The 27,513-nt window shown below is 45.0% G+C and overlaps 1 protein-coding gene across 5 annotated transcripts in view, besides 4 other annotated features; it reads right to left on the bottom strand.

Annotated features, from left to right (window-relative positions):
• The window catches only part of EMILIN2 (elastin microfibril interfacer 2), a 69,772-nt gene extending 51,124 nt beyond the window's left edge, over positions 1-18,648 (bottom strand). For 4 of the 5 annotated variants that reach the window (XM_047437884.1, XM_047437886.1, XM_047437885.1 and 1 more), the window contains exons 1-2: positions 18,074-18,648; positions 16,949-17,071 (exon numbers count right to left, since the gene is read on the bottom strand). In XM_047437884.1, the coding sequence (XP_047293840.1) occupies positions 16,949-17,071; positions 18,074-18,330 (380 nt within the window). In that variant the 5' untranslated portion in view covers positions 18,331-18,648. Of the gene's footprint in view, positions 1-16,948; positions 17,072-17,557; positions 17,875-18,073 lie in introns of those variants that run through there. The other variant, NM_032048.3, reaches the window with a different exon arrangement.
• Positions 10,435-10,729: an enhancer, noted in NCBI's record as "tiled region #4434; K562 Activating DNase matched - State 5:Enh". NCBI's record gives its function as "activates a minimal TATA promoter and a strong SV40 promoter by Sharpr-MPRA in K562 cells {active_cell/tissue: K562}" and the evidence as "EXISTENCE:reporter gene assay evidence [ECO:0000049][PMID:27701403]".
• Positions 16,897-16,986: a silencer, noted in NCBI's record as "silent region_9249". NCBI's record gives its function as "represses an Ori minimal core promoter by ATAC-STARR-seq in GM12878 lymphoblastoid cells {active_cell/tissue: GM12878}" and the evidence as "EXISTENCE:reporter gene assay evidence [ECO:0000049][PMID:35858748]".
• Positions 17,607-17,656: a silencer, noted in NCBI's record as "silent region_9248". NCBI's record gives its function as "represses an Ori minimal core promoter by ATAC-STARR-seq in GM12878 lymphoblastoid cells {active_cell/tissue: GM12878}" and the evidence as "EXISTENCE:reporter gene assay evidence [ECO:0000049][PMID:35858748]".
• Positions 22,455-22,749: a silencer, noted in NCBI's record as "tiled region #3375; K562 Repressive non-DNase unmatched - State 20:ReprD". NCBI's record gives its function as "represses a minimal TATA promoter and a strong SV40 promoter by Sharpr-MPRA in K562 cells {active_cell/tissue: K562}" and the evidence as "EXISTENCE:reporter gene assay evidence [ECO:0000049][PMID:27701403]".

Here is a 27,513-nt window from a genome sequence, read left to right as displayed (position 1 = left end):
GAAAAGACCAAATCTACGTCTGATTGGTGTACCTGAAAGTGACGGGGAGAATGGAACCAAGTTGGAAAACACTCTGCAGGATATTATCCAGGAGAACTTCCCCAATCTAGTAAGGCAGGCCAACATTCAAATTCAGGAAATACAGAGAATGCCACAAAGAGACTCCTTGAGAAGAGCAACTCCAAGACACATAATTGTCAGATTCACCAAAGTTGAAATGAAGGAAAAAATGTTAAGGGCAGCCAGAGAGAAAGGTCAGGTTACCCACAAAGGGAAGCCCATCAGACTAATAGCTGATCTCTCAGCAGAAACTCTACAAGAAGAGAGTGGGGGCCAATATTCAACATTCTTAAAGAAAAGAATTTTCAACCCAGAATTTCATATCCAGCCAAACTAAGTTTCATAAGTGAAGGAGAAATAAAATACTTTACAGACAAGCAAATGCTGAGAGATTTTGTCACCACCAGGCCTGCCCTAAAAGAGCTCCTGCAGGAAGCACTAAATATGGAAAGGAACAACCGGTACCAGCCACTGCAAAAACATGCCAAAATGTAAAGACCATCAAGGCTAGGAAGAAACTGCATCAACTAATGAGCAAAATAACCAGCTAACAACATAATGACAGGATGAAATTCACACATAACAATATTAACCTTAAATGTAAATGGGCTAAATGCTCCAATTAAAAGACACAGACTGGCAAATTGGATAAAGAGTCAAGACCCAACAGTGTGCTGTATTCAGGAAACCCATCTCATGTGCAGAGACACACATAGACTCAAAATAAAGGGATGGAGGAAGATCTACCAAGCAAATGGAAAACAAAAAAAGGCAGGGGATGCAATCCTAGTCTCTGATAAAACAGACTTTAAACCAACAAAGATCAAAAGAGACAAAGAAGGCCATTACATAATGGTAAAGGGATCAATTCAACAAGAAGAGCTAACTATCCTAAATATATATGCACCCAATACAGGAGCACCAAGATTCATAAAGCAAGTCCTTAGAGACCTACAAAGAGACTTAGACTCCCACACAATAATAATGGGAGACTTTAACACCCCACTGTCAACATTAGACAGATCAACGAGACAGAAAGTTAAGAAGGATATCCAGGAATTGAACTCAGCTCTGCACCAAGTGGACCTAATAGACATCTACAGAACTCTCCACCCCAAATCAACAGAATATACATTCTTCTCAGCACCACATCACACCTATTCCAAAATTGACCACATAGTTGGAAGTAAAGCACTGCTTAGCAAATGTAAAACAACAGAAATTATAACAAACTGTCTCTCAGACCACAGTGCAATCAAACTAGAACTCAGGATTAAGAAACTCACTCAAAACAGCTCAACTACATGGAAACTGAAAAACCTGCTCCTGAATGACTACTGGGTACATAACGAAATGAAGGCAGAAATAAAGATGTTCTGTGAAACCAACGAGAACAAAGACACAACGTACCACAATCTCTGGGACACATTTAAAGCAGTGTGTAGAGGGAAATTTATAGCACTAAATGCCCACAAGAGAAAGCAGGAAAGATCTAAAATTGACACCCTAACATCACAATTAAAAGAACTAGAGAAGCAAGAGCAAACACATTCAAAAGCTAGCAGAAGGCAAGAAATAACTAAGATCAGAGCAGAACTGAAGGAAATAGAGACACAAAAAACCCTTCAAAAGAATCAATGAATCCAGGAGCTGGTTTTTTGAAAGGATCAACAAAATTGATAGACCGCTAGCAAGACTAATAAAGAAAAGAGAGAAGAATCAAATAGATGCAATAGAAAATGATAAAGGGGATATCACCACCGATCCCACAGAAATACAAACTACCATCAGAGAATACTATAAACATCTCTACGCAAATAAACTAGAAAATCTAGAAGAAATGGATAAATTCCTTGACACATATGCCCTCCCAAGACTAAACCAGGAAGAAGTTGAATCTCTGAATAGACCAATAACAGGCTCTGAAATTGAGGCAATAATTAATAGATTTCAAACCAAAAAAAGTCCAGGACCAGATGGATTCACAGCTGTATTCTACCAGAGGTACAAGGAGGAGCTGGTACCATTCCTTCTGAAACTATTCCAATCAATAGAAAAAGAGGCAATCCTCCCTAACTTATTTTATGAGGCCAGCATCATCCTGATACCAAAACCTGGCAGAGACACAACAAAAAAAAGAGAATTTTAGACCAATATCCCTGATGAACATCGATGCAAAAATCGTCAATAAAATACTGGCAAACCGAATCCAGCAGCACATCAAAAAGCTTATCCACCATGATCAAGTGGGCTTCATCCCTGGGATGCAAGGCTGGTTCAACATATGCAAATCAATAAACATAATCCAGCCAATGACAAAAACCACATGATTATCTCAATAGATGCAGAAAAGGCCTTTGACAAAATTCAACAACCTTCATGCTAAAAGCTCTCAATGATTTAGGTATTGATGGGACGTATCTCAAAATAATAAGAGCTATCTATGACAAACCCACAGCAAATATCATACTGAATGGGCAAAAACTGGAAGCATTCCCTTTGAAAACTGGCACAAGACAGGGATGCCCTCTCTCACCACTCCTATTCAACATACTGTTGGAAGTTCTGGCCAGGGCAATGAGGCAGGAGAAGGAAATAAAGGGTATTCAATTAGGAAAGGAGGAAGTCAAATTGTCCCTGTTTGCAGATGACATGATTGTATATCTAGAAAACCCCACTGTCTCAGCCCAAAATCTCCTTAAGCTGATAGGCAACTTCAGCAAAGTCTCAGGATACAAAATCAATGTGCAAAAATCACCAGCATTCTTATACACCAATAACAGACAAACAGAGAGCCAGATCTTGAGTGAACTCCCATTCACAATTGCTTCAAAGAGAATAAAATACCTAGGAATCCAACTTACAAGGATTGTGAAGGACCTCTTCAAGGAGAACTACAAACCACTGCTCAATGAAATAAAAGAGGATACAAACAAATGGAAGAACACTCCATGCTCATGGGTAGGAAGAATCAATATCATGAAAATGGCCATACTGTCCAAGGTAATTTAGAGATTCAATGCCATCCCCATCAAGCTACCAATGACTTTCTTCACAGAATTGGAAAAAACTACTTTAAAGTTCATATGGAACCAAAAAAGAGCCTGCATCGCCAAGTCAATCCTAAGCCAAAAGAACAAAGCTGGAGGCATCACACTACCTGACTTCAAACTATATTACAAGGCTACAGTAACCAAAACAGCATGGTACTGGTACCAAAACAGAGATATAGACCAATGGAACAGAACACAGCCCTCAGAAATAATGCTGCATATCTACAACTATCTGATCTTTGACAAACCTGACAAAAACAAGCAATGGGGAAAGGATTCCCTATTTAATGAATGGTGCTGGGAAAACTGGCTAGCCATATGGAGAAAGCTGAAACTGCATCCCTTCCTTACACCTTATACAAAAATTAATTCAAGATGGATTAAAGACTTAAATGTTAGACCTAAAACCATAAAAACCCTAGAAGAAAACCTAGGCAATCCATTCAGGACATAGGCATGGGCAAGGACTTCATGTCTAAAACACCAAAAGCAATGGCAACAAAAGCCAAAATTGACAAATGGGATTTAATTAAACTAAAGAGCTTCTGCACAGCAAAAGAAACTACCGTCAGAGTGAACAGGCAACCTACAGAATGGGAGAACATTTTTGCAATCTACTCATCTGACAAAGGGCTAATATCCAGAATCTACAATGAACTCAAATTTACAAGAAAAAAAACAAAAAACCCCATCAAAAAGTGGCAAAGGATATGAACAGACCCTTCTCAAAAGAAGACATTTATGCAGCCAAAAGACACATGAAAAAATGCTCATCATCACTGGCCATCAGAGAAATGCAATCAAAACCACAATGAGATACCATCTCACACCAGTTAGAACGGCAATCATTAAAAAGTCAGGAAACAACAGGTGCTGGAGAGGATGTGGAGAAATAGGAACACTTTTACACTGTTGGTGGGACTGTAAACTAGTTCAACCATTGTGGAAGTCAGTGTGGCGATTCCTCAGGGATCTAGAACTAGAAATACCATTTGACCCAGCCATCCCATTACTGGGTATGTACCCAGAGGATTATAAATCATGCTGCTATAAAGACACATGCACATGTATGTTTATTGTGGCACTATTCACAATAGCAAAGACTTGTAGCCAAGCCAAATGTCCAACAATGATAGACTGGATTAAGAAAATGTGGAACATATACACCATGGAATACTATACAGCCATAAAAAAGGATGAGTTCATGTCCTTTGTAGGGACATGGATGAAGCTGGAAACCATCATTCTCAGCAAACTATCACAAGGACAAAAAACCAAACACCACATGTTCTCACTCACAGGTGGGAATTGAACAATGATAACACATGGACACAGGAAGGGGAACATCACACACTGGGGCCTGTTGTGGGGTTGGGGGAAGTGGGAGGGATAGCATTAGGAGATATGCCTAATGTTAAATGACAAGTTAATGGGTGCAGCACACCAACACGGCACATGTATACCTATGTAACGAACCTACACATTGTGCACATGTACCCTAAAACTTAAAGTATATTAAAAAAAAGGAATCATAGATGACATAAACAAATGGAAACACACACCATGTTCATGGATGGGTAGAATCAGTATTGTGAAAATGACCATACTGTCAAGAGCAATCTACAAATTCAATGCAATTCCCATCAAAATAACACCATCATTCTTCACAGAACTAGAAAAAAATCCTAAAATTCTTATAGAACCAAAAAAGAGCCCACATAGCCAAAGCAAAACTAAGCAAAAAGAACAAATCTGGAGGCATCACATTATCTGACTTCAAACTATACTATAAAGCCATAGTCACCAAAACAGCATGGTACTGGTATAAAAATAGGCACATAGACCAATGGAACAGAATAGAGAACCCAGGTATAAACCCAAATACTTACAGCCAACTGATAGTCAATAAAGGAAACAAAAACATAAAGTGGGGAAAGGACACCCTATTTAACAAATGGTTCTGGGATAACTGGCAAGCCACATGTAGAAGAATGAAACTGGATCCTCATCTCTCACCTTACACAAAAATCAACTCAAGATGGATCAAGGACTTAAATCTAGGACCTGAAACTATAAAAATGCTAGAAGATAACATTGGAAAAGCCCTTCTAGACATTGGCTTAGGTAAAGACTTCATCACCAAGAATGCAAAAGCACATGCAACAAAAACAAAGATAAATAGGTGGGACTTAATTAAACTAAAGAGCTTTTGCAAGGCAAAAGGAACAGTCAGCAGGGTAAACAGACAACCCACAGAGTAGGAGAAAATCTTCACAGTCTATACATCTGACAAAGGACTAATATCCAGAATCTACAGCAAACTCAAACAAATTAGCAAGAAGAAAACAAACAATCCCATCAAAAAGTAGGCTAAGGACATGAATGGACAATTCCCAAAAGAAGATGTACAAATGGCCAAAAAACATATGAAAAAATCCTCAACATTACTAATGATCAGGGAAATGAAAATCAAAACCACAATGCGATACCACCTTACTCCCGCAAGAATGGCCATAATCAAAAAAATTTAAAAATAATAGATATTGGCTTGTATGTGGTGAAAAGGGAACACTTCTACACTGCTGATGGGAACGTAAACTAGCCCAACCACTACGGAAAACAGCATGGGGGTTCCTTAAAGAACTAAAAGTAGAACTACCATTTGATCCAGCAACCCCACTACCGGGTATCTACCCAGAGACAAAGAAGTCATTATATGAAAAAGATACTTACACGTAAATATTTACAGCAGCACAATTCGCGATTGCAAAAATGTGGAACCAACCCAAATGTGCATCAATCAACAAGTGGATAAAGAAACTGTGGTATAGGGCCGGGTGTGGTGGCTCACGCCTGTAATCCCAGCACTTTGGGAGGCTGGGGTGGGTGGATCACTTGAGGTCAGGAGTTCGAGACCAGCCTGGCCAACATGGTGAAACCCCGTCTCAACTAAAAATACAAAAATTAGCCGGGCATGGTGGCAGGCACCTGTAATCCCAGCTACTCGGGAGGCTGAGGTGGGACAATCATTTGAACTCAGGAGGCAGAGGTTGCAGTGAGCCGAGATGGCGCCACTGCACTCCAGAGCCTGGGCAACAGAGTGAGAATCAGAAGAAAGAAAAGAAAGAGAAAAAAGAAACTGTGGAACATATATATATATACACATATATATATATATATATACACACACACACACATATATATATATATATATATATATATATATATATATATATATATATATGATGGAATACTACTCAGCTATAAAAAGGGATGAATTAATGGTATTCGCAGCAACCTGGATGGAATTGGAGACTATTATTCTAAATGAAGTAACTCAGGAGTGGAAAACCAAACATTATGTTCTCACTCATAAGTGGGAGCCAAACTATGAGGATGCAAAGGCCTAAGAATGACACAGTGGACTTTGGGGACTCAGGGGAAAAGGATGGGAAGTGGGTGAGAAATAAAAAACTACAAATTGGGTTCCGTGTATACTGCTCAAGTGATGGGTGCACCAAAATCTCATAAATCACCACTAAAGAATTTACTCATGTAACCAAATACCAGCCATTCCCCAAAAACCTATGGAAATAAAAAAAAATAAAAAAGAAAATACAACAAAAAGTGCTTCCTAATTGGGATTACTCATTTTCCGGTAATGATTCTGACAAGGAGTTTCTAGAAAGTGCTTTGCTCTTTGGTTCCAGACACGAGATACAGCGGCATTTCTGCTTTCCCCCTGCACCGGCCGTGAGAAGGAGATCTGTGCCTTGCCTTGCCAGTTATTTTCAGCAGCAATGCAACAGAATGACTCGCAAATCTCGAGAGTGGCCAGGAGGTGATGAAACTTGTTGTGATGGGAAAGGGCGCATTGCCCATCGTGGTGGAGTGGGGGCCCTGACCTTGCTTCCTGGCACCAGCAGGCTGCTGCTCCTGCTGAAAGCTGCCCAAAATCTCCAAGGTCAGAGATGCCTGACATAAACCAGGCCAGAGCATCGTCAGCACAACAGACCGGACTCAAGGTTCTGGAATGTGTGAAATATTAAGAAAGGCTTGACCATGCCTCCCTGCCCCAGTCCTTCATTCAAAGGCTAAAGGCAAGCCAGAGTCGCTTTAATGGAGAGAGGTTCTCCCCAAGAAGGGCTGGATTGCAAAACTCGTCCCACGCCCTGAGTTCTGTCGCAATCGCCCCCTCGGCTTTCCTCCTCCGTTTCAAGATATGTGCAAAAGCTTCAGTTAGCAGAAAAACAAGCAGCATTGTCACCACTATGGTTTAGAAAACACTTTTAGGTCTTTACCTCATTATCCTCTCACAACATCCCTGTCAAGCAGATGTAGGGAAACCACTTCAAGTAAGAGGGAAACATCTTGTGCCTTGTCTTCTGATGGACTGAGAGTAAATCTCTGTAAAACATAACCTAATGAAGGCCATGCATTAGGCAGAACCTGTGCAATCACAAAGGTGCACAGAGATGGGAAAAGTTGGGGAAAAGCTGCAAAGTCTCAGCAAATTCTTCCATTGAAATGATCCACTTAAAAAACTTCACCTACACAGTTTTTCTTTAACCAAACACATAATAAAATACATTGTCCTGAAAGGCTGACACTGCAAAGAGTAATTCTTAGGCGTATTCCCTCATCTTCTAATATTTTCTTAGGTGGAACAAAAAAAGGGCAGCTGAGTCCTTCTGGGTCCTTCTAAGTGACACACCCAGAAACGTTTGCTTTTACAGCATTTTCGAACCAGGAATTTGGCTCATTTGAATGCTCCCTACTTTGTTTCAGCCCTCATCACCATTTTAAAACAGGAAGGAAAGAAGAAAACTTACTGGCATGTTTAGTTTTAGTCATTTCATTATTTTCCCTTCAGTGTGAACTGCTGTCATGTTGAAAAATAAGGGGCTCCTCCCTCGATTCTCCCAGGAAAATGGTTCTTTGTAAGGAGAAATCATGCTCAGCTGTACCATGTTATCAAGTGGTTTGTTGTTATTTTTAAGCCCAGAAAACTACTTCATCAAGGATGGAAGTAGTTAACGCTGAGCAGTAAAGAAGTCACGCGGCCAATGATAAATCAGAACATTTGTGTGGGAGACTAGAAGGAACCTCACCACTGGTACGGTTTCCCCGCTTTTGATTTTTAAAGACAGGATGTAAAGTTCTGTGTAACTGTTGGATGCGGCACCTACTTCATTATGTACACGCAGCACATGTTAGTAACAACAATATTAGGCACACGAGGAAGAGGATTTTTTTCTAAAAGAATTCAAGGAACACATTAGGGGCGGTGGGATAGATCACCTGGGGATTGGCACTAGTTTACCACCACTCACAGCAACATCCACCATCTAGCTAACCTTTCTTTACTGACCTACTCCAGGCACACAGACACCTGCAGAACCAGTAAGAAATACCCACAGGCTACTTCAGCACTGACTTTGACCATAATCACTTATGTGCATTTCCCCAAAGAGACTGCACTGCTGGCTCGGCTTCCAGTGCAATTTCTAAGAATTTCACTTAATTTTTTTACACTTAAATTTTATTTTATTTTTTAGAGAGGGGGGTCTCACTATGTTGCCCAGGCTGGATTCAAACTCCTTGACTCAAGCGATCCTCCCGCCTCAGCCTCCCGAGTAGCTGGAATTACAGGAACATACTACCGTGCCCGGCTGAGCTTCACTTAAAGTTCATCTTAGGCAAGCCAGCATCATTATTATCTTAATTCACTGAATTTAACGATTTCAACCGTGAGCATTTTAGCCTTTCTCCAATGTGTCCGTAAGCATTAACTTCAAACCCAAAGTCCTCAAAGATAAAATCACCTGTGAGGCAATAACATTCCAAACCGACAAACAATGAAAACGGTGAGTGTTCACCAGACGTGCCTGCTGGGTATGCAGTACGTTAGTGTGACAGCGCAATTTTTAAAAGTTCTGTCAGCTGTGTTCCCGCACTGGGGCCTCCTCCCCACAACCCTGTCATGTAGACGTGAGGAAAGTGTGCCTCAGACGGGCTAAGTGACTCGCCTGTGATCACACAGCTTGGTGGTGGGAGATGTCAGGCTGTAGGACAACTCTTCTGTCTCCTCTTCCGAAGCACGTCAGCCACCCACCCAACCTGGATGGAGTTCCCACCCACTTGCCGTTCTCTGCAGCCTGGCCCCACCTGCCTCCCCTTTTCCGGCTACCTCAGGATTTTAACTCAAATACCACGTGCCACCGTGGGTGGAACACATCAACAGAGGAAGACCAGTTACGGAGCTTAATTAAGACAAGTTCTAACAAAAAGCAGGCTGCTTTTCGTAAGGCCATTACCCCTATTTGAATGCTATTCACTGTTGTGTAAGACGAAGGTAGAAAGTGTAGCCCCTCAGCATGAAGTTCTTTTTCCAAGGCCCCAGTCTCGGCCCTGCCTAGTCTCCTGGCTGAACTTGTGGTAAGAATAAAATAATGGTGTGGAAATGTTCTGGAAATGCCGAAGGGCCCTGCAAGCATGGCATCTCCTCCACTGGGAACCTAGGAAGGAGACAGGAACAAGAGAAATAAGAAACCTGAAAGGAAGGTCTGGAGATTCTAGGGAGCAGCCCCAAGGGGCCCATAAGGAATGGAAACCCAAAGAAAGAAACTCAAAATAGCAACAGTCTGCAGCTCTCGAGGGCTGGGCGCCTGGGATTCCAGCCCTCCCGTGCAGGAGTCTCTGACACGAGCTCAGTCTTCCTCAGCTGACTCCAAGTTACCTCCGATGCCAAGGAACAAGCCTCCTAACAGCCAATTGATGGCGAAACTTTTGTTTAAAAGCTGAAGGAAAGAAAATTCCCCCAAAGCTATACACAAAAGGTACTTTTTGAACTGAAAGTTATTCTGTTCCTGGAGATGTAGAAAACAGAAAACTGGCTCTGGAAGATGTAAGCCCTCATTTTCTTTCCCCCGATCCCTGCAGCCTTACATGTTCTGTTCTGGGTTTTTTTGTTTGTTTTGTTTTTGACTCTGTCATCCACGCCTCAGTGCAGTACTGCAATCATGGCTCACTGCAGCCTTCAACTCCCAGGCTCAAGCAATCCTCCCGCCTCAGCCTCTCCAGTAGCTGGGACTACAGGCACGTAGCACCATACCCAGCTAGTTTATTCTATTTTTTGTAAAGACAAGGTCTCACTATGTTAATCAGGCTGGTCTTGAACTCCTGGGTTCAAGCGATCCTCTTGCCTCAGCCTCCCAAAGTGCTGGAATTATAAGCATGAGCCACCACGCCCAGCCAAATGTTCTGTGTGTGTGTGTGTTTTAAGCCACATTTCCTGGCTGAGGTTACTCCCTAATAAGACAAATTTTCTGCCAACTGAACAACCATCTGCTCCCCTCGGAACCTGAGGAGGATTAGAGGTGTCCTGAACTCCACGGAACTCAACACCTGCTGCAAATTCCTGGCAGGCCTTATCTCAGCAGCACAGGCTCTGTGTGTTGGCCCCACCCAGATCCCTCCCCCGACTGGTAAGATCTTTTTAGAAAAAGAGCTAATAGGAAAAATTCCACCAAGATACAACACAGGCCTCGAGGGGCTGAGGGGGGAGGTGGCCAGATGCTGATAAGCCCAAGTCAGTGTGTGGTGTCAGAAAGAGAAAACTCTGGGCCCTACAGAAACTCAGCCCTGAGTTGGGAGGCAAAGTGAACTCAGAGGGAATAATCCTGCCTCACCTCTGGGGTCCTTGGATGTCTTCACCAACAATGCAGGCTATCTGTGGACCAGACACCTCCCAAAGCCCCCAATACTAAAACCATCAGGCTGAGCAGGAGGTGATGGGACAATTTGGAAGCATGAAAGAAAACAACGCCAGTCCAATAAAGAGAAGAAACACGGTGCTGTTTTCTACCAGCCGTACGTCCAAACACTACCAATGGGTATTGGAGGCTGTAAGAAATGTCAGGCCCTTCCCTCCTGCCATTCCACCCTGACAGGGAGGCTGGCAATGCAGCACCCGCTGCGGTAGGCATCACACATGCACCCTCAGGGTGCTCAGCCCGGCTGTGGATTGAGACCTCCAGGGGCTGCCAGGTGTGGAGCGGGAGGAGTGCGAGGCTTGAAAATAACAGGCCTGGGTTTGAAGGCAGGCTCTGCTGCTTCCTAACTACTTGCCCTCCTGTAAAATGGGGGTAGTGACCCCAGAGGGTTGCTATAAGAATGGAAAACAATGAACATGGCAGGGCTCGTCACATTCTCACGATGCACTTTAAGGAAATATTCCCACTGCGGTCAGCCTCAATCCCACGGATGTCAACCTGCCCAGTGCCTCAAAGAATTCCAAGTCACTCCGATTCCATGTCTCCACATATCTGTCCCTAAAACCAGCCCATGACCAAGGCAGAACCTCTGCACTTTTACAGCAGCTCCGGAGAGTCCAGATTCAGAGGCTGCGTCCACCACACTGACGGGCGATCGCTGGGAATGTCCCAAGGGCTGGGGGGGTGGCAGGATCTACCAGACTGTTCAAGCTGCCAAGGGTTTTTAGGATTAATTGGGAAAATTCCCCAATACAATGAAATTTTTAAGAGATTTGGCTTTATTAATGTAGAAGTATAAAGTAAAACAATTACCTCAGGAGGGGAAAACCACCCTTAGACCCACCTTGGGAACTAGGACTGAATGGTAAATGCCTAGCATGCAGCTAGGTGTTATTTAGAGTCCACAGGTCCCTTCTGTGTCCTCTCCTTATCTCCCAGGGGATGGTGCCCCTTTCCTTCTCCTCTTCCTCAGATTCTATTGAGCCACCCTTAGGAATTTACAGAGGGAAGACAAATCATGTTTTGTTGAAGCAATCCTGTGCCCGGAGGATCCAGAGCCCTCCTCACATCTAGTACCTGTGCACTAGAGAGAGACACAGAGAGAGAAGACATCCCAATTTTAAATTCCTAAGTGATGGTGAATCTTTATAGGTGTTAAGAATTATTATTGCGGGCCAGGTGCAATGGCTCACGCCTATAATCCCAGCACTTTGGGAGGCCGAGGCAGGCGGGTCACTTGAGGTCAGGAGTTCGAGAGCAGTCTGGCCAACATGGTGAAACCCTGTGTCTACTAAAAATACAAAAATTAGCTGGGCGTGGTGGTACAGGCCTGTAATCTCAGCTACTCAGCAGGCTGAGGCAGGAGAATCGCTTGAACCCAGGAGGTGGAGGTTGCAGTGAGCCGAGATGGTGCCGCTGCGCTCCAGCCTGGGCAATAGAGCGAGACCCTGTCTCAAAAAAGAAAAAACGAATTTTTGCACAATTACTTACACACAAAACTAGTATCACAACCATTAGGGCATGGGCTTTAAATTCTTTTTCTGGAAGCCTGCTTTTAACACCATTCCCCTGTGACAAGTTTCATGTTGGCAGCTGAGCTCGGGAACATACATGTGGAAGTCCTGAAGCGGTCGAGCTCACTGGTCCATGCAGTATGTCCGATAACTCTCGCCTCTCTAATAACAACTTTAAGCGTTCAATCTGCCAGTGCTTCATTAAAATAAGCCAACAAACTGTATAGTGTGAAAAATGACATAGTTCATGCGTCATAGGCAAATGACCCACAGTAGAGAGGGTTAAGGGCACATGCAGGCACATGCATGCACACGCGCGAATGCACACAGAAATGCATTCTCAACACTTCTATATGAGAATTGCCTTTTATGAAAGAAGGTGTAAATGCTCTTAGTAGTTGAGTACTGTGCAACCTACCGAAAGCACACACTAAGACAAACAAACAGGCACATTCTGCATTGCTATAGAGACAGAGGGCAGTCCGCAAAGCCCTGGATTAGCAGGCGGCTCAGTGGCTACCCTCACGTGATCACAAGCAACTTAGGGAATGGCTCATCTCAGTTTCCTCCTTGGTAAAATGGAGACAATACTATTCAACCCGAAGGGCTGTTGCAGAAACTAAATAAACTAATGTATGGAATGGAAAGCCCTAACATGGGGCCTGGCACATAGAAGGTACTTTATAGTATCAGAAAAGTGATTACTTAAAATGCCCACTTATATAAAAACCCCTTCTGTTCCTGGTTGCACATAACAATATTCAAATTCACAATCTGGAATCTAAGGCTTTTCATACATGTAAACAGGGCACCGTCTAATCCTTCTGACAAGGCACCTGCGGCCTGTAGTCAGTCTCTACAGCTAAGGAGGCTGTCAGGGCCCAGTGACATGGCTGGGCGCAGAAGCCCTCCTCCTGTTATTTAAATGAGTACCTCCATCACACCCCATTTCCCAGCGGTTTCACCCTCAGTCTCGGAGCACTCTCTCTATGGCTACTTTACTTCTGTCCCCAGATAGGCAGAATGCTCTCTCTCTGTGTTTCGAGACAGGATCTCACTCTATCACCCAGGCTGGAGCGCAGTGACGTGATCATAGCTCACTGCAGCCTCGAACTCCTGGGCTCAAGCAATCCTTCTATCTCAGCCTCCCGAGTAGCTGGGACTACAGGTATGCACCACCATGCCCTGCTATTTTTTTTTTTTATAGTGATAGGGTCACACTATGTTGCCCAGGCTAATTTCAAACTCTTGGGCTCAAGTGATCCTCCCGCCTCAGCCTCCCAAAATGTTGGGATTACAGGCAAGAGCCATCCTGCCTGGCCCCGATCTCTCTCTAAGTAATTCTTTACCTGCTTGGCTACTATTCAGCTCCTTTTTTTTTTTTTTTCCATCAGAGCCTTTTTCCCATGATATCATTTTCTGTATAACTAAGTTTCTTCATGACTCACTCCCTCAATCTCACACAAATTACAATGCCTGCACCCCACTGACCTGAATGGCCTCTTTCTGCAGAAACAATTGCTTCCTGCTCACTAACCCATGGCCTTTCTGGAGCCTGAAGCCTCCAGGACTTCTCCTGAGTCTCTAAGATGGGGTTTCCTCCACCAATATCTTTGCTTCACTCTCTCTCCTTGCCCAGCTCTTCCTCTTCCTTCCCCTCCACTGTCCCTAAGAACTCAGCTCTGCTCAACCATGTCAAGGCCTCAGTGATGCCAACCTGTCCGTCACTCTCAACTGCAGAAATGCGTTTCTATCTCCAGCATCTCGGCCAACCTCCAGCCCTGTACTTCCAACACTGCTCACAAATTATCCCTCAGTCACTCTAGAGTGAGTTTCTGAAGAACGTTTTTTTCCAGCCTGGGTAACATAGTGAGACCCCATCCCTAAAAAAATAAAAATAAAAAACTAGCAGGATGCAGTGACTTCTGCTTGTAATCCCAGCTACTCAGGAGGCTGAGGTAGGAGGATCGCTTGAGCCGAACAGTTAGAGGTTGCAGTGAACTATGATGGTGCCACTGCACCCCAGCCTGGGTGACACAGTGAGACCCTGTCTCTAAAAAACAATAATAATAAAAAAGAACCTCAGGTTTCCTTCCACAGGTCCCAGGTGACTCAGGCTTCTGGATTCCTCAGAAAACACTGAACAATTCCATGTGAAACAGCCATTCCTCCTTGTTAAGTATAAAAAGAAGGCTCCTTCCTTTGTCTTCATTCATCCACCAATTCTCAAAACTTAGGGGCCAGACATGGTGGCTCATGCTTGTAATCCTAGCACTTTGGCAGGCTGAGGCGGGCGGATTGCCTGAGCTCAAGTTCGAGACCAGCCTTACCAACATGTTGAAACCCTATCTCTACTAAAAATACAAAAAAAAAAAAAAAAAAAATTAGCTGGGCATGGTGGCACACACCTGTAGTCCCAGCTACTCGGGAGGCTGAGGAATGAGAGTTGCTTGAACCCAGGAGGCAGTTGTTGCAGTGAGCCAAGATCACGCCACTGCACCCCACCTTGGGTGACATGGTAAGACTCTGTCTCAAAACAAAACAAACAAAAAACAAAAAACAAAAAAGAAATCTTAGGAAGCATTCCTCAGTTGAAAAATAAGATAAACCATTCTGTTCCATCCCTAAAGAAACTGAAAAAAGTCAAGACTGAATTTACTGCTGAAGCTAATGTCAAGATTTTCAGGTTCATCAACTCAGTCTTTGTTTCTTAAACTTCACACTTACAGTGCAGTACTTAAAATGTAAAAATGCACTTGTATTGTTTATATGGTTATTATTGAAATAAAACATCCAGGTCACTTATTTTGGCTTTGTTTAATAAAACAACAGAAACATCTGTCATTTTTTATAATAATTCTGTTGTCCTACTCACTGGGTGGCAAAAATGCACTCCCACTGCCTTGCATTGACCTGCCAATCTGGAGGCGATTCACTCCCCACTGACAGCCAAGTTTCACTGAGTTTTGGTCAAATAGAACAATTAAATCATCCTTTGGTTTTCCAAGCAGCTAAAATAATTTGAGAAAATAAAAACAAGCCATCTTTTAAACAAAAATGCATTACCTCCCAAAATGAAAAATTCATTTATCTCCGAATTGTCACCAGTAAGTTTTAAGGTTATAGCAAGCCACACCATGCAGTTCTTGTATAAGATGAATAAAATATTCCTGACTAATAACTCAATTCTAATTTTAAACAAATGCATTCAAACTGAGTTGAATACTTAGTTTGTATCACTCCCACAGTGTAAAAACCTTGCTTGGTTCTGATGTCGTTGACTGCTGGCCATAGACGATGAGGTCTCAATCTTACTAAGAGATTAAGGTTGGATGACAGTACCTTATCTCTCTGACAATGTATCCAACTCAAAGAGATAGCCTAGCTGGGCATTCAATTTCAGCGTTTTCCACTGTATATTAGGAAATGGGGACCTCGTCTAAGTTTCTGTTTGTTTTACTTTGTTTTTGCCGAGCAGGAATTAGCTGAACCCTGTTGGCAGCTCCTCCAGAAGCCCACGTGGGGTGGACCCAGCGACCACTTCCCATAAGACTACAGGCTCATCTACTGTTCTCTGGAATAAGGTTTCCTGGAGTACAAGTTCCAGTCTGTCCCTTGGTTTTGCCAAAGACAGATCCGCCTACTGACTATTCTCTGCTGTAATGACAACTGTGCTCTAAGACAAACAACTTATTCTTAGTGGAAAACAATTAATTTCAGCCATCACATGTGTTCCTCAACAGCCATTTATTCACACTGGCCCATCTTCCGGTATCAGACTGATACAAAACCCCCAAAGACTTGCCTGATGACAATTGAATGAGTGTCATGTATTTAACGGCATTTGTACTTTATTGCATTGCTTCCTGTTTTTTTTTTTTTTTAAGATGGGGAAATCTTTATAAGCAAAAAGATGATTAATTCTTCCCCCTGTCTTTAACGGCCATTCTCTCCCACAATCTCTAGAGAATCTCCAAATCTAAGTTGCGGGGAGGGATGCTGGGGAGCCACACTTTTAAGCAAAGTGTTCCTGAGGTTTTAGCTTAGACATCTACAAAACTGGAAGATTCCGTTTTATGGGGACATACGGACAGAACTCACTCGTTTTAGAACACTACTTAGCCAAACCTCTCAGCGAATCCTATACGGAATAGTCTTTAGCAGTATACATTTTGGAATCTTCTGTGTGCCCCAGAACACACAATATGGATCCAATTAGATTCAGCTGCCTTATGTTACAAACAAACATTGAAAGGGAGAAAACAGAAGTGGGAGTGGGAGCTTTGTTCATCCTCTCCTACGCCCCCGCGACCCCACACTCCCGAGGCGCGCGCATCCTCCCCACTCACTCGGGCAGCACCCACTCCCTAAATAGCCCAGCGTGGCCGGTGCCCCGCGAGCGCTCGGAGCGCTTTTCCGCTGCGGGCTTTTCACCGGATCTGGAAGGGATTTACCGGAGGGACTGGAGCCCAGCGCAGCAACCCCACCCCACCCCCACCGCCCCGGCCCGGGCGCGCCCCGCCCGCTCCCCGGCTCCAGGACTTACACCAGCGCCGACGGACAGGGCATCTGGTTCCAGGCACAGTTGTACTGAGCCTGAATAAAACTCTCACTTCCCTCCAGCACGGAGCAGCTCACATTCTTGTTCACGATGTAGGCGCACCAGTTCCTGGGGTGCAGGAGAGAGAGGGAGAGGGGCACGGGGTAAACCCGGAGAACAATGAGGCCAGGGGAGAGGGGACTGCGGCACCAGACCGAGCGAGGGTCGGGGGGGCCCGTCGCCCTCTGCGGAGGCGGGAGCTTCACCGAGCAGACGCCGGAGGGTGCCCGGGTGCGCCTCTGGAGAGCGCGCGCCTGGACCCGACCAAGACGGGAAAGAAAAGCACCCATGGTCCCAGGGGCTCATGGAATTCCTGGGAGTCGTTTTCGGATCGCCCGGGTCTGCGGGACGCTCTCTGCGCCCACGCCCCCGGAGTCAGCTCTGCCTGAGGCGCCGGCTGCGGAGCGCGCGGTCCCCCGCAGAGGGAGCCGCCCGGGGAAGTCCAAGGGAGGCCCCCGGCTGCCGCTCGTCGTCTTTGGCAGGGCAGCTCTGGGGCTCAACTGGGGGCCGGGGAGGGGTAGGCGGTTTGGGGCCAGCCAAGGGGCGCGCACTTACTTGTTCCTGGCGCTGGGCCGCGCGGGATACCCGGGCTGCGGGCCGGCGTGGCACAGCCCCGCGCCAACCAGGGCCAGCAGCGCCAGCGCCCAGCGCCAGGGCACGCGGGGCCAGGGCCGTCTGGGCTGCCACATCCCGCGCGCAGCGGGCGCGCCCCGCCTGCCCGGGTCCGGAGCGCGGCGGATCGGGGCACCGGCCACAAGGCTGCCGGCGGCCAGGGCGCCGCCCGCGAAGGCAAGAGGCTCGGGCGCTTCGCGGCGCTCCAACCAGTGCTCCGCGGCCGCCCCCTCCGGCTTCTCGTTCCTACTTCTCCTTCTGCAGCCCCGTGCGCCCTGCGCTTCTCCCCGGTCCCTCAATGACGCACAGGTCCCCCCGGGTGCCGCCCTCTTTATTTCACTTCCCTCTCCGAAACGTGACTCTCCCCCCACCAAGTCTCCCCGTCTCCAGTCCCTTCGCTTCTCGGCAGGGGGCTCGGGGTGGAGGGGCGAAAGGGTTTGGGATAAGGGTCTACGTTACAGCATTTCCAATGACTCATTCCTTTGGTCTCTTCCCAGATGCCGAGCGACTCCGCCTCCCACCTTCCGACAGGCTCGCTCCCGGCCCCCCGGGACGCGGCCGCCGTCGGCGAGTCTGGCCGTCCTCGCGTCGTGCCTGGGTGCCAGCCTCCCGGGGCGAATGAGGGACATGTTTATCAGTCCCGCGGGGAGAGGAGTGGGGGCTCGACTCGAATTTCCTCCTCGGGCAAGACAGGGCCGTTCCCCCACCAGCTCCATGGACCTAGAGAGTCCAGGAGGAAACGAACGCTGGTTCTTTCTTTGCCCAACTCTGCCTTAGGCACCATCTGACAGTTTCCGAGGCCACGCGGGGGGCGGCAGGACAGGACAAGCCACAGCCCCGCCAATTCCCAGAGGCTGCTGCAGCTCAGCGTCCGGCTCTATCACTTACTGCAATTCTCCTCCAATTCTTGAAAGGTGATCTCACAGCCTCTGCTTCTGAGGTCCCACTGTGAACTTTCTTTTTCTATTGAAACTAAGGCATTTACTCACGTTTGCTTCTTAACAGTTCAGGCACTGCTAGACATCCGTCTTAAACTTTCTTGTATGTTTTCTGCCTGTTGTTGAGTTACACTAATCTCTACCGATGTCTTTTTGGGATGAAGTACCAGAATGTTAAGTAAAATCACCACCCAAGTGTTGTATTCTAAGGGGTGTTGGAGAGAGCTGTGTGTTTGAGATGACCTGCTGCATCTAATCAATGTACAGGGTCGTGAGTGGCGTGGTTACCAGACTCCACAGATAAAACTGTGGCCTCTGTGAGCTAACCAGACGCTGTTGGCCATGACTCGTTAAGTGAATAAAGCTTTGCTATGGGCCAGGCGGGGTGGCTCACGCCTGTAATCCCAGCACTTTGGGAGGTCGAGGCGGGTGGATCACCTGACGTCGGGAGTTCAAGACCAGCCTGACCAACATGGAGAAACCCCGTCTCTACTAAAAGTACAAAAAAAAAAAAAAAATTTGCCGGGCACGGTGGCACATGCCTGTAATCCCAGCTACTTGGGAGGCTGAGGCAGGAGAATCGCTTGAACCAGAGAGATGGAGGTTGCAGTGAGCCGGGATCTCACCACTGCACTCCAGCCTGGGCAAAAAGAGTGAAAATCTGTCGCAAAAAATAAAAAATAAAAACGTTTGCTATGTTCCTACTTTACTAAATGAAGCCATTGGTCTATTTTGTTTCTAATATTCTTTGATGGTGTTGTTGGACCTTTTGATTTGCAGATGAAAGAAAGAGAAGTCCCTAAGTAGAAACTACAAGGGCCAAGCAGAACATTATACCATGTAAGGACATCATCTGTCCCTGGACTCTTAAGCGGAAGATCATGCAAATAGTGGACTGAAGTCATCCCAGCCTTCAAAAGAGCCACCGTGGGGGGGAAATAACAGAAAGGGATAAAAAGCTGTCTTTCGTAACCCAATCTGTATCTTTCTGTGTGACTTCCCTATCCTGCCTGTCCTAACACCATCTTGGCCGTAAAGACTCATAGAGTAGAAACAGAGTATAGAAATGAAGAAGAGGAAGAGGGGGGGAAATGGGGGAAACACACAAGTTGTGTGTGTCTACAATTAGCAGAGAACAACTCCAATGTGTGTCTGGTACAGGTAAATCTCAAACTTGAAAGTGCATTGAACTGATCAAGTCAATCTGTTTTTTCCGTCAAATCAAAGTTATAATAGGAAGTTGTCTAAGAGTATAAGGGCCAACTTGTCATTGAGATGACCACAATACTATATTTAATCAGCTATCAATAACATTTATTGGTAAATAAATTTCATTCTGAGCATCTGTTACAAGCTAGGCATTGTGCAAAAATACTGAGGATTCATGAGTGAGCCCAAACTGACACGGGGCTTGTGTTTGGAGAGCTTCCAGGCATTGCCATGCAATGAAGGGTGTTAGCGTTCCTGATGGACAGTCAACTAAGTGAGCTAATGTTTATTGCATGTCTTTCTCTAGACATAAGCCCATGTATGTTATTGTGGGTCTGCCCCTGGAAGACAGAACATTCTTGACTTTCAGAAGGTTACTTCCCTCTTTTGTATTTTTATTTATTTATTTGGGGGAAAGGGTCTCACTCTGTCACCCATGCTGGAGTCCAGTGGCATGATCATGGCTCACTGCAGCCTCGACCTCCCAGGCTCAAGCAATCCTCCTACCTTAGCCTCCTGAGTAGCTGAGACCACAGGTGTGTGCCATTACACTCAGCTAATTTTTTGAATTTTTGGTAGTGATGGGATCTCACCACGTTTCCCAGGCTGGTCTTGAACACTTAATCTCAAGCCATCCTCCTGTCTTGGCTTTTTAAAGTGCTGGGATTTCAGGCATGAGCCACTGTGCCCGGCCTATTATTCCATTCTTTTACTTTTTTGTTTTTTTTTTTTCTCTTGAGATGGAGTCTTGCTCTCTCATCTAGGCTGCAGTACAGTGGTGCAATCATGGTGCACTGCAGCCTCGATATCCCTGGGCTCAAGCAATCCTCCTGCCTCAGTCTCCTGAATAGCTGGGACTACAGGCGCACACCACCATAACAGGCTGATTTTTTGTATACCATCACAGCTCACTATAGCCTCCAACTCCTGGGCTCAAGTGATCCTCCTACTTCAGTCTTCTAAGCAGCTAGGAGTACAGGCACACACCACCATGCCCAGCTAATTTTTTATTTTTTGTAGAGATGGGCGGGGGGGTCTAACTTTGTTGCCCAGGTTGATCTTGAACTCCTGGTTTCAAGCAATCCTCCTGCCTTCGCCTCCTAAAGTCTTGGGATTACAGGCATTAGCCACTGTGCCCAGCCACAAGGTTATTTCTTGATTTGAGGCCAAGATCCCAAGAGACCCTCTTTGTTTTCTCTACTCCAGCTGGAGGAAGGGATGCAACAAACTCAGGAACCAGAGAGCCCTGCATAAGAAACAAGACAGAGGGAAGCTTCCGGAGGATAGAGAGCTTCAGCACACTAAGAAACAGACTAATTGGGCAGGACTTCTGATCCCTGCCATGAACAATAACGTGGATATGACTGCCAGAAAGCTGCAAGTATGAATTTTTTATATGCTGCCAAGTACCTTAAGTGAGCACTTGAAAACTATATTTTATATAACAATCTGAAGGAATTTCTTCTGCTTTAAAAACAAGTGTCCCATAGTAACTTGGGACACACACCCTTGATTGTGTGACCAACTTACCTAAAGCAAAAATTCAAGGAAGAACTACTTCATACAATCCATTCTCTTATTCACTTGTGGGTCATGACGTAAGATGTTCATCAGGCTCTGTACGTGTTTAGGGACAGTTCTCTTGGAAGCAGTGAGCCTCTTGGGCCTCCAGCACACCCAGGTGCCCCCTCCATTGCCTGTTGGAAAAGGAAAGTGACTATCACTGAGGCAGCAGGCAAATACATTTCCCCTAGCCCCACCCCCGTCATCTGCGCAGGGGACATTTGATCAAGATGAACTGATTTGCATCTAGGATGTGGTCAAGAATCATGAGATTAGCCTTGTCTTTCCGCCCTTCTGATCCCTCATCTTCCCTTTTTTTTTTTTTTTTTTTTTTTGATACAGGATCTTGCTCTGTCGCCCAGGCTGAAGGGCAGTGGTGCTACCATGGCTCACTACAGCCTCCACCTCTCAGGCTCAAGCAATCCTCCTGCCTCAGCCTCCTGAATAGCTGGGACTACAGGCACGTGCCACCTCATCTGGCTAATTTTTATCAGTTTTTTTGTAGAGATAGGTGTCTTACTATGTTGTCAGCCTGGTCTCGAACTTGTGGCTCAAGCGACCCTCCCGCCTCAGCTCTTTACTTTCTGGAATTCAAAAGTTCAAAAAAACTGTCCCCTGGATTTCTAGGTGTACTTTTAGGTGTCTTTATTGCTTCCTTTTTCTGCTTATTTAATGATGGAAAAACAAAGTTCTTGAAGACTAGATATCTTGAATAAAAGACACCCTTCTTTCTTTTAAAAACAATGAGTTTAATAGGGAAAGAGAAACATCCCCAAGAAAAATGAACTGGCTGCAGCATCTAGCCTGTTCTGTGTTCTGGAATGCCAGGATATGGGCAATACAATTTTGTTTAGCTCCATTTGAAATAGGCATTATGTTGGAGAGGGACCTTCAGAACAATTTTTTTTTCTTTCTTTTTTTTGAGATAGTGTCTGGGTCTGTCACCCAGGCTGGAGTGCGGTGGTACAATCAGGGCTCACTGCAGCCTTGACCTCCTGGGCTCAGGTGATCCTCCCACCTCAGCCTCCTGAGTAGCTGGGACTACAGGTGCACACCACCACACCCAGCTAGTTTTTGTATTTTCAGTAGAGACAGGGTTTCCCCATGTTGCTCAGGCTGGTCTGGAACTCCTGAGATCAAGCAATCCACCTGCTTCGGCCTCCCAAGTGCTGGGATTACAGGCACAAGCCACTGTACCAGAATCGCTAACCCCACTAAAACACTTACCAAGACCTCAACCCCTGACCCCCATGCCTCAGGATACTCCTCAATAGCCATCGCTGTAGTGTACCCAAAGACAACCCTTATTCCCCCCAAATAAATTTAAAAACCATTAAACCCATGTAACCTCCCCCATACCCAGAACAAATTCAGTGAGTCTCCAGACTTCAAAATTTATAAATAACAGCTGCTTTCTTGTCTTGTCAAAAGCTTTGATCAAACAAATGAAATCAAAACAAAGAACACTTGCCCTCTTCAGTTTTTCTTAACTTACTTATTTGTAAATATCTCCTTTGCGATACAAAGCTAAGAAGTCAAAAATCTCCTTGTCCTTTGAACCTAAGACAGACCTTATCAACTGACTGATTAGATGATACTCTCAAGGACTATGGCCATTATTTTAATCATCTTTCATGAGAGATACGGGGAGGAAATGTTTCTATATTGATTAGGGGTGTGTACCTTCATACGTTTTACACTATCACCTGAGAGTTTCAAAACTGTGAAAAATTGAAATCACATGGAAAAAAAGGGTTTTCAGAATTCATGCAGTAGAGTTAGTGTACTGTTCAAAATATGGCACCCTCACCCACTTAGCTGAATGATCTTGGACAAACAATACACCCCTCTATGTTCCATGTTCTTCTCTGAAAATTGGAATCACTCATCTGGCTGTGGGGAGGATTCATTGCATTGCCAGATGTAAACTGTTAACATCGTGCCTGGCACTCAGTGAACGGAGGGTGAATATTTACCATTGTTATTGACATACCCACATCAGTAACAATAACAAATTTGGAGTCAGGTTCAGGGGCTTTATCATTCCTTTTGTTTGCCAGTCAACATGGAAGCTGACCATCTACTGCAGTTCCTTCCAAACATGAAGTGTAAAGAGTGCATGTGTATAACTCAATCAGAATAGCCCTAAGTGCGATTGTCCAGAATAGAATACTGTGCTCTTAGGGGCTCACGCCTGTAGTCCCAGCACTTTGAGAGGTCGAGGTGGGCAGATCACGTGGGGGCAAGAGTTCAAGACCAGCCTGGCCAACATAGCAAAACCCCATCTCTAATCAAAATACAAAAAATTAGCTGGGTGTGGTGGTGGGTGCCTGTAGTCCCAGCTACTCTGGAGAATCACTTGAACCTGGGAGGTGGAGGTTGCAGTGAGCCGAGATGGTGCCACTGTACTCCAGCCTGGGTGACAGAACAAGACTTTGTCTAGAAAAACAAGAATACTGACTTCTAGCCCAGTTTTCTTTCTGCTGCTCCCCAGATAAAGCATGTAGCTCAGCTTATTGTTTAGAAGATTTATCCTCTATACAGCGAAGGATTTTATTTTAGAACAAGGCAGTGAGTTCTTCGAGAGATTGATAATGCTGCGTAAATAAATTCAGATCATCAGGCAATTCGACAGTGAAGATCTTCTTCAAAAAGATGAAATTAGTTACTCCTTCCATATCCCTTAATTTTTTTCAGATGTTTCTTAGATCTAAGAATACTTTCTACAGTTAACAGTATACCATACACTACATTTGAGATGTCATCGCTGACACAGTTATGGTATGGTTTTGAACACATTTTTTTCATCATAAGAAATAACTGACAAAAATAGGCTCTTAGAATTTTTTTGCATGTTTGTTTCCAAGAGAGCTGTAATAGCTTAGGCAATAATGTCTTCATATACATGAGCCACATCAAACTATGTTGTAGTTCATCATTTATTTAAGGAATGTGAGTTGACTGTTCTGGAGTCAACAAAATGTTCTAAATAGGCAAAATGTATTTGGTGATTCTGAAATAAATTATTAAATTTTGGCACAATCATGGTCTATACTCAGAATAGTATGGACTAGTCATGAACAAGTTAAGTCTCTAGTATTTCAGACTGGGCAATTCTAACAATGTTTATTTAAGTATAGTCAGTTCTCTTTATTTGCAGTATTTACGTTTTATAAAGTTGCCGTGAACACTGAACTGGCAAATATTGAACAATTGCTTCTAGGGGAAATACAGCATTAGGTTCTTACAAGCCTCTGGTCAAAAAGTGTTTTTGTCAATCAAGCAATACATAACTTTGTTTTATGTGTGTTTTTATTTAAAGATACCTAGTTTAATATATCTTTTTGATTCACTAACACTGAACTCATGGCCAACCCAACTATAACTCGTGCGGGAATGATGCTTCACACACACACACACACATATTTTTTCCATAAGGCACATCATAGCCTTCTTGTGCTAGGAATGTTACACAGCCCTTCAGCACTATGCCTGGGAGCCATTTTAAACAGTGAAATTGTTACCAGCAGTGAATCTGTATCCGCAGGGGTTCGGCAGCAACCTCAATTCTTGCCTCCTCAGAAGGAAGAATTCAACTAAGGGGCATAAGGCAGAAGGAAAGGCTGAGACAAGTTTTAGAGCACGCCGGGCATGGTGGTTCACGCCTGTAATCTCAACACTTTAGGGGGCCGAGGCAGGCAGATCACATGAGGTCAGGAGTTCGAGACCAGCCTGGCCAACATGGCGAAACCCTGTCTCTACTAAAAATACAAAAATTAGCCAGGTGTGGTGGCAGGCACCTGTAGTCCCAGCTACTCGGGAGGCTGAGGCATGAGAATCGCCTGAACCCAGGAGGTGGAGGTTGCAGCCAGCTGAGATCACACCACTGCACTCCAGCCTGGGCGACAGAGAGAGACTCCGTCTAAAAAAAAATAAAAAAATAAAAAATAAAAAATTTAGAGCAGAAATGAAAGGAAGTACACTTGGAAGAGGGCCAAGCGGGCGACTTCAGAGATCAAGTGTTCGGTTTGACCTTCTGACTTGGGATTTTATACGCTGGCATACTTCTGAGGGTCTTGCATTCCTTCTCCCCTGATTCTGCCCTTGGGCTGGGCTGTCCGCATGTGCAGTGGCCTGCCAGAATTTGGGAGGGGCCGCACGCTCAGTGTGTTTACTGGAATTGTACGCATGCTCATTTGAGACATTCTTCCCTTACCAGTCTAGCATTTCTAGAGGCAGGTGTGATGGGTAATACTGAGTGTTAACTTGATTGGATTGAAGGATACAAAGTATTGATCCTGGGTGTGTCTGTGAGGGTGTTGTCAAAAGAGATTAACATTTGAGTCAGTGGGCTGGGGAAGGCAGATCCGCCCTCAATCTGGTGGGCACAATCTAATCAGCTGCTGGCAATTAAAGCAGGCAGAAAAACGTGAAAAGGAGAGATGGGCCTAGCCTCCCAGCCTACATCTTTCTCCTGTGCTAGATGCTTCCTGCCCTTGAACATTGGACTCCAAGTCCTTCAGTTTTGAGACTCGGACTGGCTCTCCTTGCTCCTCAAGCTTGCAGACAGCCTATTGTGGGACCTTGTGGATCGTGTAAGTTAATACTTAATAAACTCTCCTTTAGTTATGTCCCTCTAGGGAACCCTGACTAATACAGATTTTGGTACCAGGTGTGGTTCTAGAGGAACATAATATTAAGAATGGAGTTATTTCGTTGGTTTTGGGGTTTCTGGAGTTGGCTGCTTAATATGATTAGACCCCAAAATGCTAAGGACTCTACTTCTAACAGTATGGAGAACACGGATAGTCCTTGGCATGAACTGCTTAAAGAGTTATGCAAAATAAATGCATTTGACACTCCTGATTCATCACTCCTGAGAGGCAAGGAGTTTAGTGACTCTATATATAATACCTTTGATCATGTGTGGAGAACCAAGGAACATAATGAAGCTGGTTGTTTGCTCCTAAGTTCAGTGGACAAAGTGATGAAAGAAAATGATGAACTCAGGGATTCTGTCTCCCAGCTTCAGAAGCAGATACTGACCCTCAAATATTCTAAGATTGCCCTGAGTGAGAGTCTTATCTCCTGTAGAGAAAGAGCTGAAATTGTGGAAAAACAGACACAAGCTCGTATCATGCAAGTGGCTGACCTGCAATGAAAGGTGCATGCACAGCCTCGCCAGGTGTCTACTGTTAAAGTGAGGTCATTGATTGGAAAAGAATGGGACCCTGCAACTTGGAATGGGGATGTGTGGGAGGACCCTGATGAAGGTGGGGACACTGAGTTTGTAAACTCTGATGAAACTTTTTTGTGAGAAGGAACAGCTTCCCCATCCCCAGTAGTGGCAACATGCCCTCCCAGACCCATGCTGCCATCAGTCTTTCCACCTTTGTCTGGGGAGATAAACCCTGCGCTGCCTGAGGCAACAGTGATGGCCTCCCCTGAGGCTGTTGCCAGGCAAGGTAATGTTGATTCTCCTCTGGAGCCACCCCCAACACCTGTTTGCTTCTAGACCTATAACTAGACTAAAGTCCCAGTCGGTCCCTAGAGGTGAGGTTGAGAGTGTGACCCATGAGGAGGTATGCTACACTCGAAAAGAACTGTTTGAGTTCTCTAATTTATGTAAACAGAAATCTGGAGAACAGGCATAGGAGTGGATATTACGGGTATGGGATAATGGTAGAAGGAACATAGAGTTAGATCACACTGAATTTATTGATTTGGGCCCACTGAGTAGGGACTCTGCTTTTAATATGGCAGCTTGGGGAGTTAAAAAAGGTTCTAAAAGTGTAATTGCTTAGTTAGCTGAAATATGGATTAAAAGATGGCCCACTGTGAACGAGCTGGAAATGCCTAATCTCCCTTGGTTTAATGTAGAGGAAGGGATCCAAAGGCTTAGGGAGATTGGGATGGTGGAGTGGATTAGTCACTTTAGACCTACTCATCCCAGCTGGGAGGGTCCAAATACCCTTGACCAATGCATTTAGAAATAGATTTGTGAGGGCAGCACCTGCATCTTTGAAGAGCCCTATAATTGCTCTTCTCTGTATGTCAGAGCTAATGGTGGGAACTGCAGTCACTCAACTACAAAATTTAAATACAATGGGAATAATTGGATCCTGAGGTGGCAGGGACCAAGTAGTGGCACTCAACCATCAAAGGCAAGGTGGGAATATCTACTGTAAT

This window comes from Homo sapiens, chromosome 18 (genome assembly GCF_000001405.40).
Source record: "Homo sapiens chromosome 18, GRCh38.p14 Primary Assembly".
NCBI lineage: Eukaryota > Metazoa > Chordata > Mammalia > Primates > Hominidae > Homo > Homo sapiens.
This window is presented reverse-complemented; position numbering and strand designations above follow the sequence as displayed.